The sequence below is a fragment of the Homo sapiens genome, chromosome 6 (genome assembly GCF_000001405.40).
Source record: "Homo sapiens chromosome 6, GRCh38.p14 Primary Assembly".
Taxonomy (NCBI): domain Eukaryota; kingdom Metazoa; phylum Chordata; class Mammalia; order Primates; family Hominidae; genus Homo; species Homo sapiens.
Window position 1 is genome coordinate 36,155,122 of NC_000006.12, and position 19,282 is coordinate 36,174,403.

General features: G+C 39.0%; 1 long non-coding RNA gene across 2 annotated transcripts in view, besides 1 other annotated feature; it reads right to left on the reverse strand.

Moving 5' to 3' along the window:
• Positions 1-19,282, reverse strand: part of BRPF3-AS1 (BRPF3 antisense RNA 1) — a 50,512-nt gene that overhangs the window by 8,430 nt on the left and 22,800 nt on the right. The window contains exon 3 of one of the 2 annotated variants that reach the window (NR_187146.1): positions 2,117-3,820. The exons of the other annotated variant lie outside the window; for it this stretch is intronic. This is a non-coding gene — a long non-coding RNA (BRPF3 antisense RNA 1). Of the gene's footprint in view, positions 1-2,116; positions 3,821-19,282 lie in introns of those variants that run through there. 2 annotated transcript variants of the gene reach the window in all.
• Positions 5,098-5,298: a silencer, noted in NCBI's record as "peak5782 fragment used in MPRA reporter construct". NCBI's record gives its function as "represses an SCP1 promoter by STARR-seq MPRAs in K562 erythroleukemia cells {active_cell/tissue: K562}" and the evidence as "EXISTENCE:reporter gene assay evidence [ECO:0000049][PMID:32103011]".

Consider the following 19,282-nt stretch of genomic DNA (forward strand, 5'->3'; position numbering starts at 1 on the left):
AGCTACTCAGGAGGCTGAGGCAGGAGAATCACTTGAACCGGGGAGGCAGAGGCTGCAGTGAGCCAAGATGGCGCCACTGCACTCCAGTCTGGGTGACAGAGTGAGACTCTGTCACAAAAAAAAAAGAAAAAAAGAAAAGAAAAGCAGTCAATGAAAACCAATCCTGAAACACTTCATCTATTGGAATTAGTAGTCAAAGATTTCAGAGCAAATATAATATATGTTTTCAAGGACTTTGAAAACACAGTCATAATGAATGAACAGATGGGCAATTTCAACAAAGAACTAGAAACTACAAAAAAGAACCAAATGGCAATTCTAAAATTAAAAAGCATGATATCTGAAGTGAAACTCTCACTAGACAGGCTTAATAAGAAAAGGTGAAGTTGAATAAAAATCAATAAAATTTATATAATCTGAGGAACAGAGATGAAAATATTTGAAAAGATAATCAAAGCTTCAGTAACTTATAGGACATTTCCTAGAAGGAGAAGAAATAAACAATGGGACAGAAAAAATATTTGGAGAAGTAAATTATTTGGAGAAATAATGGCCAAAAATTTCACAAGTTTGACGATAAATATAAGCTTACAGATCCAAGAAGCTCAACACAACTTAACACAAAGAAAACTACTCTTGAACATATCATAATCAACCTACTAAAAAACAGAAAATCTGGAAAATGACCAAGAAAAACAGCATATACTATATACAGGGAACCATGAGTAGAAAAATCAGCTAACTTCTCATCAGAAATAATGAAGGCCAAAAGACAATGGAATGCCATATTTAATGTGCTAAAAGTAAAACCCTGAAACCTGGAATTGTACATATACAATGTATTTCATTATTATCATGTTGCTAATATCCTCACTTACATATTTTAATATATTTATTATGCTTATTCTAAACTCTTGGTTCATCTGTTCTAACGCATCTCTTTCTGATGTTATCCATCATCTGGCCATGATTTTTTTTATTTTTTTATTTTGAAGTGGTTGTGTTACTCAGATATCTTAGTTTGGTCTGTGAACTCATATCCCCTAGCTCCTCTGTCCAATAAGGAACACTGGGGAAGGACAGAAGCGACAGTATTACAGTAATGAGCTAAAGGGTGTGTGTGTGTGTATGTGTGTGTGTGAAAGACAGGACAGAGAGAGAAAGATGTGAAGGGTGTGATGGGGAAGAACAAACACTAAGAGAGCCCTGGTGCATTAGTCCGTTCTTATGCTGCTAATAAAGACATACCTGAGACTGGGTAATTTATAAAGGAGAAAGGCTTAATTGACTCACAGTTCAGCACGGCTGGGGAGGCCTCAGGAAACTGACAATCGTGGTAGAAGGGGAAGCAAACATGTCCTTCTCCACACAGTGGCAGGAAGGAGAAGAATGAGAGCTGAGTGAAGGGGGAAGCTCCTTATAAAACCATAAGATCCCATGAGAACTTACTCACTATCACAAGAACAGCATGGGAGAAACCACTTCCATGATTCAATTACTTCCCACCAGGTCCTTCCCACGACATGTGGGGATTATGATAACTACAATTCAAGATGAGATTTGGGTGGGGACACAGCCAAACCATATAACCTGGGCACCAGAAAACCAGTAACATCAAACCAATCTTCAGGTTAAGTCTTCATCTCAACCAGTCAGGGAGAAGCTATATTGGTAGGAGGGTTGGGAAGGTGACTTGAGGCTCTTCAACATCCACCCATGAAACTCCTCTACAGAGCAGAACTGCACTGTCCTGATTGTATTCCCTGAACATCACTACAAAACAGCCCAGTACAATGTTAAATAGAAGCAGAGGTAATTAGATGAACCCATGGATATAAAGAGTCAAATATATATATACACACATACATATAAACACACACACATATATAAAATATATAATATAAAATATGCATATATACAAATAATGCAAAATATATACAAAATATATATAATCTCTTACAAAACTGAAGTTTATCAAAATGAATTGACAGATACTATTACTTTGTCTCTTCAACAACCATATTTTTCACACTATTTATTCAGGTAGCAAGAGAAGATCCCTTGTCCAATAGTTTTACGAAGATACGTTTGAATCAATTTTGCCTGGCACATGGTATGTTCTTTGACTTGAAAAGAAGAGTCAATCTTCTTTTATTTCAGAAAAGATTTTTAAATTTATATATTGAAATATATCTTGATCTAAATAATAAATATAGTTGGCCCGCCATATCTATGGGTTCCACATCCATGGATTCAACCAACTGGGATCAAAAATATTCCAAACAACAATAAAAACAATAAACAATAAACAACAATAAAACAATAAACAACACAATAAACAAAATAAACAACAATAAACAAAACAATAAACAATAAAAAATAACAATAGAACAATTAAAAAAATACAAAATTTAAAAATACAGTATAACATCTATTTACATAACATTTATATATTGTATTAGGTATTATAAGTGATCTAGAAATGACTTAAAGTATACAGAAGCCTAGCCTGGGCAACACAGTGAGACTTCCATTTCTACAAAAAATAACATTAGCCACGTGTAGTGGTGCATGCTTGTGGTCCCAGCTACTCAGGAGGCTGAGCTGGGAGAATTGCTTAAGTCCCAGAGGTTAAGGCTGCAGTGAGCTGTGATCACACCACTGCATTCCAGCCTGGGTGACAAACTGAGAACCCGTCTCAAAAAATAAGTACATACAATAAAAAATAAAGTATACAGGAGGATGTGCATAGATTATATGCAAATCTCACACCATTTTATGTAAGAAACTTGAGCATCCTCAGATTTTGGTATCCATGGAGCTTTCCGGAACCAATCCCCTGTGGATACCTGTATACACACACACACACAAATACACACATATAAATACACACACACATATACACACACATATATAAATACACACACATACACAGAGTGCAATTGCTGGAGTGTCTGGTAAGCCTTTGTTTAATCTTTAAGAAACTGCCAGACTGTCTTCCAAGTGGCTGCATCATTTTGCATTCCCACCAGCAATGAATGAGAGCTCCTGTTGCTCCACAACCTCATCAGCATTTGCTGTTCTTAGTATTTTGGATTTTAGCTCATCTAATAAGTGTATACTGGTATCTTGTTTTAATTTGCAATTTTCTAGTGACATATTGTGTTGAGAATCTTTTCATATGTTCATTTGCCATCTACATATATTCTTTGGGGAGGTTTCCATTCAGCTCTTTTGCCCATATTTTAATCAGGTTGTTCATTTTCTTATTGCTGAGTTTTAAGAGTTCTTTGTATTTCAGACATACTTCCTTTATCAGATAGGTGTTTTGCACATATTTTCTCATAGTCTGTGGCATGTGTTTTCATTCTCTTAACAGTGTCTTTGCAGAGCAGAAGTTTTTCATTTTAATGAAGTCCAACTTATCTATCTTTCTTTTCTTTTATGGATTGTGCTTTGGTGTTGTATCTAAAAACTCACTGCCAAACCAAAGTCACCTAGAGTTTCTCCTATGTGATATGCTTACCTGAATGAAATGTTTGGCTTTTTCATTCTTCTTCACAGTATAACCCTCTTCTAACTTCATTTCAAAAATGTGTAAGCCATTCATTCTAGTTTTTCCGTATTTTAGCAGCCACATTACTAAATCACTTATTTCTCAGGTTCCAGTTTTCTTCCCTCTTGGGAAATCATCTCCCTGAGTCAGCAAAGGCCCGTTACTTTTTTAGTTTTCCAGTGTCTCTAGTCTCATAGTTGCGTTCTCTGACGTTTGGATAGTCATCACTCTCCTCTTTAATCCTCAAAACATTGCCATGGAGTTCTAAAAGGAAGGAGAGCAAATGATATGGAGGTAGTAGTTGCCGATTTCCTGAACCAACCTCAGGAGATAAATGAGCAAACACTTCCCAAACTTCAATTCCAGCCTGTTTGGCCCAAATTTATATGAAGTGCTCACTTGTCAATTAATAGCTTCTTCACTGATTTTTCTTGCAGCCTTAGTAAGGAAACTTCTTTTTTTTTTTTTTTCTTTTCTTTTAATGAGACAGGATCTTACTATATTGGCCAGGTTGGGCTGAACTCTTGGCCTCAAGCAATCCTCTCGCCTCTGCCTCCCAAAATGCTAGGATTACAGGTGTGAGCCACCACGCCCAGCCAGGAAACTTCTACAACAAAAGGTTTCTGTTACAGAGTTTATTTATTTTTTATTTTTAAGATAGAGTTTTACTCTGTCACCCAGGCTGGAGTGCATGGCACAGTCACGGCTCATTGCAGCCTCAACCTCCCAGGCTCAAGCAACCCTCCTCCCACCTCAGCCTCTTGAGTAGCTGGGACTACAGGTGTGTGCCCCCATGCCTGGCTAATTTTTTTAGTTTCGTAGAAACAGGGTCTTACTATGTTGCGCAGGCTGGTCTTGAACTCCTGGACTTAACGCAATCCTCTCACCTTGGCCTCCCAAAGTGCTGGGATTACAAGCATGAGCCACTACACTTGGCTCTCTGTTAGATAATTTAAACGGACAACATCTCTTGTATCAAAGAAAATTTAACTAGTTTCTTCCCATTTGCCTTTTCTTTCTGTAATGGAGTTCCAAATGGAATTAGTAATAGGCATAGTAATTTGAGTTCTGAATGGCTTTAACGATCACACTTTTATTTCATTTAAAACAATATTTGTAAGAAACGTACACTGCACTCCAGCCTGGACGACAGAGCGAGACTCTGTCACAAAAAAAAAAAAAAAAAAAGAAAGAAAGAAATGTATTTGATAGACTTGTTAGGTAATTGATTTTGTAAATAACTGCAGGTTCTGATTAAGTATGCTTTTTTTTTTTTTTGAGACAGGGTCTCTCGCTCTGTCACCCAGGCTGGAGTATACTGGCTCCATCTCAGCTCACTACAACCTCTGCCTCCCAGGCTCAAGTGATCCTCCCACCCAAGCCTCCTGAGTAGCTGGGACTACAGGTGTGTGCCTCCATGCCCAGCTAATTTTTGTATTTTTTGTAGAGACAAGAGTTTTGCCATGTTGCCTAGGCTGGTCTTGAACTCCTGAGCTCAAGCGATCTGCCTGCCTTAGCTTCCCAAAGTGCTGGGATTACAGGCATGAGCCACCACACCCGGCCTAAGCATGCTTCTTATAAAGATAACCCACCAAATCATTCATAGTGTTTCTGTCTGACATGTTTAATTTAGATAAGCTGAGGTGAAGAGTGAGTATGAGTTTCCTACGGCTGCTATAACAAATTCCTACAAACTGGATGGCCTGAAACAATAGAAATGCATTCTCTCACAGTTCTGGAGGCCAGAACTCTGAAGTCAAATGTCAGCAGAGTTGTGCTCCTTCTGAAGGCTCTAAGGGAGGAAGAATTCTTCCTTGCCCTTTCCTAGCTTCTGGTGGTTGCTGGAAATTCTTGGCATTTCGTGGTTTATAGCTGCATCACTCCAATCTCTGTCTGTCTGCACATGGCTGTCTTCCCTCTGTGTGTGTGTGTCTTTAAATCTCCTTCTCCTTATAAGAACACCAGTCATTGGATTTAGGGCCCACCCTATTCCAGTGTGACCTCACCTTAACTTGATCATGTCTCCAAGGATCCTATTTCCAAATAAAGTCACAGCCACAGGGTTTAGGATTTCAATTCAACACACAACAGAGCAATGCTATAAGGCCTATGGCACAAGAATAAAATTCAGAGGAGATATGCTAGAGAGAGAAAAACACAGAATAAAACACGCTTCAGGAAGAACAATTGGAGGTATGCGTGGTGTGTGGTTATTTCTTTGAAGACAGGCTGCTTCAGTCTGAGAAAGTGCTTCTTGTAAATATACATAGAGAAGCGTAGTGTAAATATGCTTGACTTTAGCCTTGAAAAGAATAATTAGGAAAACAACAAACCCAAATCATCAATATTAACTAAAGGAAATTGTCAGAGAGAGTAAACATTTAAAGCATAATTGCAGCTGAACACGGTGGGGTGTGAGAGGAGAGGTCTCATAACTGGCCACCAGTCACGCAATAACAGGCAATGCACTGCCCCTACCTTAATTTTTGTTTCATTTTGTTCCTGTTTCTGTTTTGCTTCATTATTGATTGATCAGACATCTGGTAAACATTTATCATCAATATTATTGATTGGCATTTCCCTCCACCATTTGCTCAAGTCTCCAAAGTATTGGCTGTGCTATCACGGCACACAAGTTACCTGGGGAGTGCAGTGGAGAGAAAGACCTTGGGTCTGCAGAAGGATATTGTGCCTTCTAAGTATGACTGAGAAGGTGAAGCTAAAACCTGCTGGTCTTGCAGTGTCTCAACTCTCTCACAGTGTTGGGGATTATAGTGGGTGGCTTTAAATGTCAAAGATTATTAACTAATTATAATAACAATACAATATTTATCATCTTTTGAATTGACAGATTTTTCAAATTCACTTATTAGTTCTGGTAGGGTTTTTTTTTTTTTTTTTGGCCCCCCTATATCCCATTTCCATCTACACCTTACCTATTATTTTATTGTGAAGACTTCCTAAGCTTCCTTATGGGGTAGGAGGTGGGACTTTACTACAGGCCACATTGAAGACTGGCTGAAACAGGGAAGAGGTGAAAGCACCTCTCCAGGCCAGGCACAGTGGCTCACTCTTGCAGTCCCAGCACTTTGGGAGGCCAATGTGGGTGGATGGTTTGAGCCAAGGAGTTTGAGATCAGCCTAGACAACATGGTAAAATCTCGTCTCTACAAAATGTACAAAAAATTAGCCAGGTGTGGTGGCACCCGCCTGTAGTCCCAGCTAACCGGGAGGCTGAGGTGTGAGGATTGCTTGAGCTTGGGAGGTGGAGTTTGCAGCGAGCTGAGATAGCACCATTGCTCTCCAGCCTGGGCAACAGAGCCAGACCTTGTCTCAAAAGAATTTTTTTAAAAAAGCACCTCTTCATAAGACATGCCCACCAGTGCCATTGACATGTCAGTTTACCATTGCCATGGTAGCACCCAGAAGTTATCACCCTTTTCCTACAAATTTCTGAACAACTCACCCCTTAATTTGCATGTACTTTAAAGTGGGTATAACTGTGAATGCAGAACTGTCACTGAGCTGCTGCTCTCAGCACACTGCCTGTGGGGTAGCCCTGCTCTGCAGGAGCAGTCATGGAGCTATAACCCTGCCACAGCTTCAATAAAGCTGTCTGCTACCATCGGCTAGCTCTTGAACTTGAATTCCTTCCTGGGCGAAGCCAAGAAACCGCCCTGCATCACTTATGCAAATAAAAACAAACAAACACTATTATATATTCTTATTCCTTCCTTTGTTACACAAAATGTAGCATGTATGTTTTACACACTGACAAATACTGCCAACCTGACCTTAGGGAGGTGTACACCAAATCACATCTTACCATATTTTGCCAAGTGCCTTTTACTTCAAATCCTCACCAAAATATTTAGTATTATTTTTGAAAAATAAAAATCAAACCCAGAAGACACAATAGGTACACTTTTCCATTTGTTCAAATCTTCTGTTATGTCACTCAGAAAACTGCACATTTCTTGGGTTAAACTTGTTCCTAGAAATTTATCTTTTTGGTTACTATTGTAAGTAAGACTTTTTCTATTAATCTATTGATTCCTAAATATTAATTTTGTAATCAGTCACCTGACTAAAGTCTCTTATTATTTATAGTATTATTTATAGTAGTTTTCAAATTGGTTCCTTGGGTTTTCCAGTCGAACAACTGTATCATTACATCACTGTATTTCAGTGCTTGTGTTCAAGTCATCCTTATTTTATGTAATACTGGTCCCAAAGAGCAAAAGTAGTAATACTGATAATTCAGATATGCCAAAGAGATGCCATAAAGTGATTCCTTTAAGTGAAAAGTTGAAAGTTCACAACTTAATAAGAAAGAAAAATTGTATGCTGAGGTTGCTAAGATCTATGATAAGAACAGATCTACATATTGCCAGGTGCAGTGGCTCACACCTATAATGCCAGCACTTTGGGAGGCCAAGGCAGGAGGACTGCTTGAGCCCAGGAGTTTGAGGCCAGTGACCGCAACATAGTGAGACCTTGTCTCTACAAAAAATAAAAAATAAATAAAATATAGCCAGGGATGGTGGTGCATAACTGTAGTCCCAGCTTCTAGGGAGGCTGAGGCAGGAGAATTGCTTGAGCCTGAGTCCAGGCTGGAATGAACCATGCTTGCACCACTACAGTCCAGCCTGGATGACAGAGTGAGACCCTAAAATTAACCATTTTAATGTGAACAATACAGACCAGGTGCAGTGGCTCACACCTGTGATCCCAGCACGCTGGGAGGTCGAGGTGGGCGGATCACTTGAGGTCAGGAGTTCCAGACCAGCCTGGCCAACATGATGAAACCCTGTCTCTACCGAAAATACAGAAATTAGCTGGGCTTGGCGGCAGGCGCCTGTAGTCCCAGCTACTTGTAAGGCTGAGGCAGGAGAATCGCTTGAACCTGGGAGGTGGAGGTTGCTGTGTGCCAAGATTGTGCCACTGCACTCCAGCCTGGGTGACAGAGCGAGACTCTGTCTCAAAAAAAATAAATAAATAATAAATAATGTGAACAATTAAGTGTCATTTAGTACATTCACAATGCTGTGCAGCCACCACCTCTCTCCAGTTCCAAAACACTTCATCATTCCAGAATAAATCCTGCAATCTCTAAGCAGCTACTCCTCATTGCTCCCTACCAATAGCCCCTTGCAACCCCCAAGCTTTCTACGAATTTATCTATTCTGGATATTTCAAATAAATGGACTAATACAATTTTGTGTCTAGCTTCACTTAGCATTATGCTTTGAAGGTTCATCCACACTGTAGCATGTATCAGTACTTCATTCCTTTTTTTTTTTTTTTTTTTTGAGACAGAGTTTTCACTCTGTCATCAGGCTGGAGTACAGTGGCACAATGTCAGCTCACTGCAACCTCTGCCTCCCAGGCTCAAGTGATCCTCCCACCTCAGCCTCCCCAGTAGCTGGGACTATGCGTGTGTGGCACCACACATGGCTAATTTTTGTATTTTTTGTAGAGACAGGTTTTTATCATGTTACCCAGGCTGATCTCGAACTCCTGAGCTCAAGTGATCCACCAGCTTTGGCCTCCCAAAACGCTGGGATTACAGGCATGAGCCACCGTGCCTGACCCCTTCATTCCTTTTTATGGCTGAATAATATTTCACCGCATGCACATACCATAAATTGTTTATCCATTTATCCATTAGTGGACATTTGGGTTATTTCTACATTTTGGCTATTGTGAATAGTTCCATTACGAACATTTGTTTACAAAGATATGAGCATCTATTTTAAATTCTTTTTGGAATATAGTTAGGAGTAGAATTGCTAGGTCAAATTTTATGCTTAACTTTTTAGGGAAATCACAAACTCTAAGAGTTATTTTACTCAAATTAGGGGAGAGCAAATTCAGGCTGAAGGCACAGGGGTAAATGGATACTTCTTTCAAGGGAGATGTTTCAGTGGGGTTTCCTAGGAATCAATGCAAACAATCATATTTACCATTTTTATAAATCTTGGAGAAGGGGTACAAAATTAAGTGAGTGTAGCGATAACATAAGATGAAGCACAGGGCAAAAGGAGACAGCCCTTGGGGAGGTGTCATGAAGCTGTATCATTGGTCAGAACATTAGAACAGTATGAACAAATGTTAGAGAAAAGAGCACCACTACAGTGTGAGAATATGAACACTAAGCTGACACCAATGATAGAGAAAACAGCTCTCAGTCATAATTGATTATTCCCATTAGGAATACCTTTAGTGAATTATTGTACATGACCAGGAAGAATACTAGAGAAAAGAAAGGGACAGTTTTAAAGAAAACTTGCAGTTATAACTCAGGCACACAAAAAAGTGTAACTTTGTTTGTATTCTTTTAACTGATTCCAGCCTTGCTGAGGAGTAACCATTTTTTTCTGTGGCAATAAACACAAATTCTTGCCAACTAAATGTTACTGTGTCATTCTGGAGTACAAACTGGTCTCTCCAGGTTCCCCAGACTCTTGGCGTGTTTATCCTAGTGTGCCATTTTTTATGGAAATAACCACAGACAACGGATTTGCCTGCTCTATCAGCTAGTTTAGACCAAAATGACTGCAAATGTCTCTAATTCCTCTTTGTTAAAGGATGTATTAGACAAAGGGACTCAAGATTAAAAAAATATGAGACATGAGAGTCTTTCAGCCATTTTAAATATGGACCACTATGAACAGGAAGAGGCTCTTCCATGTTGTCTCTGGCTCTCTAGCCCCTTTTTAAGTGTTGGAAGGTAGAGATCCAAACACAGAGGGTGAAAGCCTTTGAAACACCAGTGTCAGGCTGGGCAAGGTGGCTTGTATCTGTACTCCTAATGTTTGAGGCCAGGAGCTTGAGACCACCCTGGGCAACATAGGGAGATCCTGTCTCTACAAAAAATACAAACGTTAGCTAAGTGTGGTGGCACATGCCTGTAGTCCCCAGCTACTTGAGAGGCTGAGGCTGGAGGATTGCTTGAGCCCAGGAGTTTGAGATTGCAGTGAGCTATAATTGTGCCACCGGACTCTAGCCTGGGTGACAAAGTGAGACCTTGTCTCCAAAAAAAAAAAAAAAAAAAAAAAAAGTAAAAGAAAGAAAAGAAACACCAATGCCAAATATTTCTAAAATTCATATGGAACCAAGAAAGAGCCTGCATAGCCGAAGCAAGACTAAGCAAAAAGAACAAATCTGGAGGCATCATACCACCTGATTTCAAACTATACTGTAAGGCCATAGTCACCAAAACAGCATGGTACTGGTATTAAAATAGGCATACAGGCCAATGGAACCGAATTGAGAACCTATAAATAAACCCAAATACTTACAGCCAACTGATCTTTGACAAAACAAACAAAAATGGGGAAAGGACACCCTTTTCAACAAATGGTGCTGGGATAATTGGCTAGCCACATGTAGGAGAATGAAACTGGATCCTCATCTCTCACCTTACACAAAAATCAACTCAAGATGGATTAAAGACTTAAATCTAAGACCTGAAACTGTAAAAATTCTAGAAGATAATAGTGGAAAAACCCCTCTAGACATTGGCTCAGGCAAGGACTGCATGATCAAGAACCCAAAAGCAAATGCAATAAAAACAAATATAAATAGTTCAGACTTAATTAAACTAAAGAGTTTTGCACGGCAAAAGGAACAGTCAGCAGTGTAAAAAGACAACCCACAGAGCGGGAGAAAACCTTCACAATCTATACATCTGACAAAGGACTAATATCCAGAATGTACAACAAGCTCAAACAAATTAACAAGAAAAAAACAAACAAGCCCATCAAAAAGTGGGCTAAGGACATGAATAGACAATTCTCAAAAGAAGATATACAAATGGCCAATGAACATCTGAAAAAATGCTCAGCATCACTAATGATCAGCGAAATGCAAATCAGAACCACAATGTGATACCATCTTACTCCTGCAAGAATGGCCATAATCAAAAAATAAAAAAAAAACAGTAGATGTTGGCATGGATGCAGTGATCAGGGAACACTTCTACACTGCTGATGGGAATGTAAACTAGTACAGTCACTATGGAAAACAGTGTGGAGATTCCTTAAATAACTAAAAGTAGAGCTACCATTTGATTGAGCAATCCCACTACTGGGTATCTACCCAGAGGAAAAGAAGTCATTATATGAAAAAGATACTTGCACGCACATGTTTATAGCAGCACAATTCACAATTGCAAAATTGTGGAACCAACCCAAATGCCCATCAATCAATGAGTGGATAAAGAAATTGTGGTATATATATGATGGACTACTACTCAGCCATAAAAAGGAATGAATTAACAGCATTTGCAGTGACCTGGATGAGACTGGAGACTATTATTCTAAGTGAAGTAACTCAGGAATGGAAAATCAAACATTGTATCTTCTTACTGATATGTGGGAGCTAAGCTATGAGGATGCAAAGGTATAAGAATGATACAATGGACTGTGGGGACTTGGGGGGAAGAGCGGGAGGGAGGCAAAGGATAAAAGACTACAAATATGGTGCAGTGTATCGTTCTTGGGTGATGGGTGCACCAAAATCTCACCAATCACCACTAAAGAACTTACTCATGTAATCAAATACCACCTGTACCCCAATAACTTACGGAAAAACTAAAAATTTAAAAAATCCATTCTTTTGGCTTATGCTTACATTTTCCTCTATCATCATTGAGAATATATTATCACAATTTCATGTTTTTATTTAATACTTTTTTTCTGATAAAATGTTGTCATAATTATTTGCTAGATTAGGGCAAAAATGTTTCTGATATAATTATAGTGGCCATGTAAATGTAATAGGATGATGTTCTCTTCTCAAACCTCCTTAAACCATAACAAATGGGAGAGTCCAGCTATTTTACCTTTCTAATAGTAACTTATACAAAATTCATTATCTTTTGCTCATTTTACAGTGACAGGTCACTAAATATTGTGCCAGATAAAGAGGATTAAAAAAAAAGATAGGTTTGTGACCTGGAATACTTACAGTCAGGGAGAGGGACTGGACACAGTCAATAAGCACATAATTACAGTTTTATATGTGAAGATATGATAGACACAGCTCTGAAAACATACTTACACAGTGTTATAAAAGCAGAGAAGAGGGCATGTAACCCAGAACTGGGTATGGGGTGGGGACAGAGGACTCAGGTAATGCATCGTAGAGAAAGTGATGTTGGAATTGAGTTTTGAAGAATACATTGTAGGGCACCAAGTGAAGAAATGGTGAAAGACATTTTAGGCATAGGACTGAGTTGAGCAATGGCAGAGAGGCATAATAATAAAGCATGATCGTAGAATTTCAGAACATTCAGCAACATGCAGCACAGAACATGTGTTGGAAGAGGCACAAGAGGAGGATGGAGAAGTCTTTTTCAATATGTAGCTTTAAATCATTTTTTTTTAAATCAGAAAGCTTTTGTTGAATTATAGTTTTTAGTATTTGTTATAATCTCTGATTTTTTTTAAACCCTGGGACTCTCATTACATATATGTTGGCTCCTCTTTATTTTCAAGAGGAGGTATCTTCAATATTGGCTATTTTCTCTCAAATCCTTTTTTATCTTTTTTTTTATTTGCAAATCTTCTTTCTTTTCACCTTAAGGCATCATGTGTTGTGTTTATTCTACTTGTCTTTCTTTTAATTTGGTTTTCATTTATGAAACGATCTTTTATTTCTAATTATTTTCTGAATTTTGTCACCCATGCTGTTTTTCTAATTCTGATTTAGGGTTTTTTTCAACCCATGTATTATTTTATTTGAATGTCTTTTAGCTTGTTTTAAAGTAACAAGTTACAGTTTTGATCTATTGTATAGGCTCATCCTGGCGTGTGTTCATTAGTTGTAGGCATGTTATTCTACATATTATTCCATTTTGATTATAATAATTTTGTATCGGATCGATCTGGATACTTTCTGTTGCATTTTTTTCTTTTTTTGAGACAGAGTCTTGTTCTGTCACCCAGGCTCCCAGACTGAAATGTAGTGGCAAGATCATGGCTCAATGTAGTCTGAAACTCCTGGCCTCAAGCAATCCTCCCACCTAGGCCTCCTAAGTAGTTGGGGCTACAGGTGCACGCAACCACGCCCAGCTGATTTTTTTTTTTCTTTGGTAGAGACACCGCCTTGCTATGTTGCCCAGGCTGGTCTTGAACTCCTGGCCTCAGGTGATTTTCCTGCCTCGGCCTCCCAAAGCACTGAGATTATAGGCGTGGGCCACTGCACCCAGCCTCTGCTGCTCATTTTTATCTGAGATTTGTTTCTCTGAACTTTTAGAAGGCAGTATAGTTCAGATGAGGTTTTCCAACCTCACAGAGTTCTTTCTTCTGTTTTTGTGTACTGTTCAAACAAATGGCAGCTTACCTTCTGGGATTTCCTGGCTGTATCTCCCTGACCCTCCAAATTTTGTTTTGCCCTTCCTTGTTTCCTTTGGTCCTGATATTGTCCCTGTCCTGCTCAGTTTCTCTTCAATGTGGAAGTCCTGGGAGGTCAGTCTCATGAGAATAAGGTGCTGTACTTTCACAGCCTTCTCAGACTTTTCTGAGGATGGCCTTACACTTGCCAGCTAGTGGAGTGAGCAGAACTCCTCCTGGTTTCTGTGGCTGTTCTCAGAATGCCCTAGTTCACTTTCCAGTAATACTTTTTTGGGAACATTTTGTGTTTCTCATTTTCTCAGGTCCCCCAGGCACACCATCTTTCCTCTGCTTCCTCTCACACAGGTGCTGATACTGTGTAGGTTTGGGGCTGTTGTTCTGGCCCACTCCCTGATATTTTCTGGGTTTGTCACCTAGTTTTCTTAAAAGTATCATCTACATGGTTTTGGTTTCACTATCTATTCTGTCTTTATTTGAACACTAGGGGAAATTCATTATGCCAATCTCACACATTGTGTGATTCCATTTATATAACCTTCTTGAAATGACAAAACTATAGAGATGAAAATCAGATTAGTGTTGCTAGGGCTTAGGGATGTTGAGCAGGGCAGTAATGAGGAAGAGCGTTATGGTGATAGAATAGTTCTGTATGTTGAGTGCAGTGGTGGTTATATGAATCTATACATGTGATAAAATGGTGCACACCATTTTATTTTTTACCAATGTCAAATTCCTGGTTTTGACACTGTACTGTAAGTATGTAAGATGTAACCACTGGGGGAAACTGGATGAAGGGTACACCAGACCTCTCTGTACTATCTTTGCAATTTTCTGTGAATCTATAATTATTTCAAAATTTAAAAAATGTTTAAAACGGGAATGAAGTATTGATACATGCAATAACATGGATGAGCCTTGAAAACAGTATGCTACATGAGAGAAGCCAGGCACAAAAGACCACATATTGTATGATGCAGCTTACATGAAATCAGAATAGGCAGATCTAGAGACAGAAAGCAGATTAGAGATTGCCTAGAATGGGAGATGGAGTCAGGGAGAGGGCAGAGTAGGAAGTGAGTGCTAATGGGGATGAGGCCTTTTCTAAAATTCTAAAATTAGATAGTCAGGTTGATTGCTCAACTCTGTGATGCTAAAAAGTCACTGAACTGTATATTTTAAATGGGTGGATTTTGTGGTATGTAAGTTATATAACAACTCAATAAAGTTGCTTTAAACCATTAAAAATAGTACCCGGATGTAATGGCTCACCTCTATAATCCTAGCACTTTGGGAAGCCAAGGAGGGAGGACTGCTTGAGCCCAGGAATTGGAGACCGCTTTGGGCAACATAGTGAGACCCTGTCTTTATAAAAAATAATTTTTTTAATTAGCCAGGCATGGTGGTGCATGTAGTCCCAGCTATTCAGGAGGCTGAGGCAGAGGATCACTTGAGCCTAGGTGTCCAGGCTGCAGTGAGTCATAATCGCACCACTGCAATCCAGCCTAGGCAACAGAGTGATACCCTGTCCCAAAAAGTTTTTTGTAATACTGTCCATACCAAGTATTGGTGAGGATGTAGAAAAGTTAGAACTCTCATGCACTGTTGATGGGAATGTAAAAATGGTAAAACTGCTTTGGAAAACAATTTGGAAGTTTCTTAAAGAAAAAAAAAATTGAGCATAAACCTGCCATATGATTCAGCCATTCCACTGCTAGGAATTTATCCAAGAGAAAGGAAACATATGCCCATAAAGACTTGTTCTCAAACATTCATAGCAGCTTTATTTGTAATGGTCAAAAAATGAAAACAATCAAAATGTGCATCCACAGGTGAATGCATAAACTGTGGTATAACCGTACAATGGAATACTACTAAGCGATGAAAAGGAATTAACTACTGACACATGTCATGATATGGATGAATCTCAAAGTAATTATACTCAGTGAAATAAGCCAGACAAAATAGTAATACTATATCATTTCATTTGAATATCATTGGTTACCAGGCAGGGAGGCAGAGGAATAAAAAAAAAAAAGGAATTACAAACTTTTGGAGCAAGCTTTTGGAGGTGACTGTATGTTCATAATCTTGATTGTGATGGTTTCATGGGTATATACATATGTCAAAGCTTATAAATTATATACTTTAAACATGTGCAGATGATTTTATACCAAGTATACCTCAATAAAGCTGCTTTAAAAAAACTATGCTACCATCATCTTCCTAAAATCAGCAATCATGTTTTTAATTATCAAGAATTATTTCTTGTTCTTTGTTAGTTTCACAATATTATAATTCTTTTTTAAATTAAAAAAAGCTGTATCTTTGAGAATATGAATTATTTGTTGTTTCTAACCTATTTCCTGAATTGTCTCTGGTGTCAGATTTTTTTCTTTCTTTTTTTTTTTAATTTTGATTTTCCAGTTGTATGCTATAGACCTTTCTCAATGTCTGGTGATCTTTGGCTTTCTACTCATATTGTGAAAATAGAAAAGAAGACATCTCACTGAGGACCCTGTACATGGGAGGCCTATATTGCTTTGGGTAAAGTGCAGGAATCTTACTTTACAATGAAGTTCTCAAATTCCAGAATGAGGAGGGCTTTAGGTGAGGTGCCGACATCACACTAGCTGCCTCCAGACTTTGTGTTCTATTCTTTTTAGAAAAATATTCTGTGCTGTCTGTGCTAGGACTTGGGTAGAAGGGGCTGTTATTTCAACTACCCTCCTGTGTTTAGCCTCAACATTCACTTCCACTTTCATTACCCACTGAAGAAGTCTCTCTCTCCTCCCTTATCTGATGAAGCTGTCTCTCCCTTGTTCGAAAACATATCTATCCCCTTTCCTTGTAAGAGGAAGACAATCCTCTCTAACTAAAGACAAATCCCAGTAAGCTTTTAGAGATATAAGTTCAAGTCAAACCTAGGAAAAGCTTTACACACAAAAATAAATATAGGGATATTGCCCATTTATAGCAGAACTGGATTCTGTGTCTGCCCACCAAATGAGGAGGAACATAGTTTTAGTTTGGGACTGAATTTACTGATGCGGATGTCCTTATGATTTTGGACTCATTATACTAGCAGCAGGGAATAGTTCTAACAATTTGCTCAGCTGGTTAACCAAAACCCAGAACCACCTGGTGTTCACTTGACAATGGAACACACTAAGTTGAGGTGCCAGAAGTTTCTTGAAATAATGCAGAAGTACATAGGAAGCTCCTTCCCTTAGCATTTATGAGCCCGTGGATCCAATGGTGTTCCATAAATGAGTGGCAATTGTGAATGCGATAGGAAATCTGTGACAGTCCTCAATAGGAATTGCAGTGGAGGCCCCTAAAGTAATGGAGCAAAGCCGCTGCCTCATAAGCAAGTGATTATTTTCATTTTGGAAAACTGCTCTAGCCTTGCTCTGGGGATCTGGGGGAGTCCAAGTGCTAAGATCAAAACTGCCCACTGTGAGTTGTCTCAGCTACCTAGCTATGAAGTTGGGCATTCTATGCAACATTTTAACATGAGCTATAAGAGGTATAAAATACAGAATGAGGCTCCAGCCATAGCTGAAGATACAATAAGCTGTCTGAATATAAGTAACACATGCTCCCACCATGCCTAGTCTGGCAGCTTGCCTTAGAGAATAGCAGAATGCCCTGCTGAAGAGCCAGCTGTGCCTCCAATTGGGACAACACCTCATGAGGTTGGGGCACTGGCATGCAGGATATATTATATGTTCTGAATCATGAACCAATGTATGCGTATGTGTGGCTTCTCCTGTAATTAGAATGTACAGGTATGGAAACAATGGGGTGGAAATGGGATAGTATCTTTCATGATTAAGTCTAATGTGTTTGTTACTCATCAAATTATTGCTTCTCCTCTCCATGACTTGGGGCTCTGCTGACTTGGCATTTGGGGATCCAAGAGATAACTGCTTCTATAAGAAGACAAAACAATGTTTCCACTGCTGGTCATTTTGGGCTCTTATACCACAGGCAAAAAAAAAAATAAAGAAGGTCATGATGTTGACTGGGATGACTGGTCCTGAATAATCTTGATCATCATGGGAAAGAAGGCTGCTGCTTCAAAGTGGGGATGTGGAAATCTTAAAAATTTTGATATAGAGTCTCACTCTCTCACCCAGGCTGGAGTGCAGTGGCACTATCATGGCTCACTATAGCCTTGACCTCGGGATAGGAAAATCTTAATAGAACTCAGGTCTGCTATTCTGGAGCAGGTCTTAAACAACCATATCCAACGGAAAAAGTTAATGGAAGACTGCTATATCCCTGAAGACAGATTTACCAAGGAAGTAATTCTTATGAGGTGAGTTTGGTAAGAAACTCCAACTTACTGAGTTCTTTTGTGAAGGCAAAGGGAACATGACACAAATTACAGAGAGGAAAATTTATACATGTCAACCACAGCCCCATAAGCAATTACAGAATAGGGACTGTCACCTCTACCCATATTTCTTTCCTCGTTGGGTATATATTTATACATTTTAATGAATTTTAAAATTCCTCATCCCCACTTGTACCATTTATATTTGGTGTGCAAAAGTGGTTAATTATACAATTTCTTTTTTTCTTTTTAAAAATATCAGGTTTACTGAGGCCTAATTTTCTTTTTTAACAGGGTCTCACTCTGTTGCCCAGGCTGGAGTGCAGTGGTGCAATCTTGGCTCACTGCAACATCTGCCTCCTGGGTTCAAGCGATTCTTGTGCCTCAGTCTCCCAAGTAGCTCGGATTACCAGTGCCTGCCACCACGCCTGGCTATTTTTGTATTTTTAGTAGAAACGGAGTTTCACCATGTTGGCCAGGCTGGTCTTGAACTGACCTCAGGTGATCAGCCTCACAAAGTGCTGGGATTACAGGCATGAGCCACCGCACCTGGCCAAATTTTTTTCAAATATTTTAAATCAGCAATTGATTGAATCTGAAGATTCAGAACCTCAGAGGGAAACTATGTTGTTCAGAAGACTTACAGATTTGATTAGCTCAAGACATTTTAAAGTATGCATGGTGAAATTTTAATGGTAACCACGAAATAATAAAATTAGAATGTATAATTTCCAAACCAATAGAGAGAAGATATATGCAAAAGAAAGAAAAGAAAGGAAGAATGGGGGGGAAGGAGGGAGGGAGGGAGGGAGGGAGGGAGGGAGAGAGGGAAGGAAGGAAGGAAAGAAAGATTGGCAAAAATCTAAAATGAGACAAGAAATGTGTATATGCGTGTGGTGGGGGGAATATAATGAAAAGGGGACAAAGCACAAAGCAAGGTGATGGAAATAAGGCCAAATATATCATAATTACAATAAAGTTAATGACCTAAAAGTGCCATTTAGGACAGAGATACTTAAATTTGAAA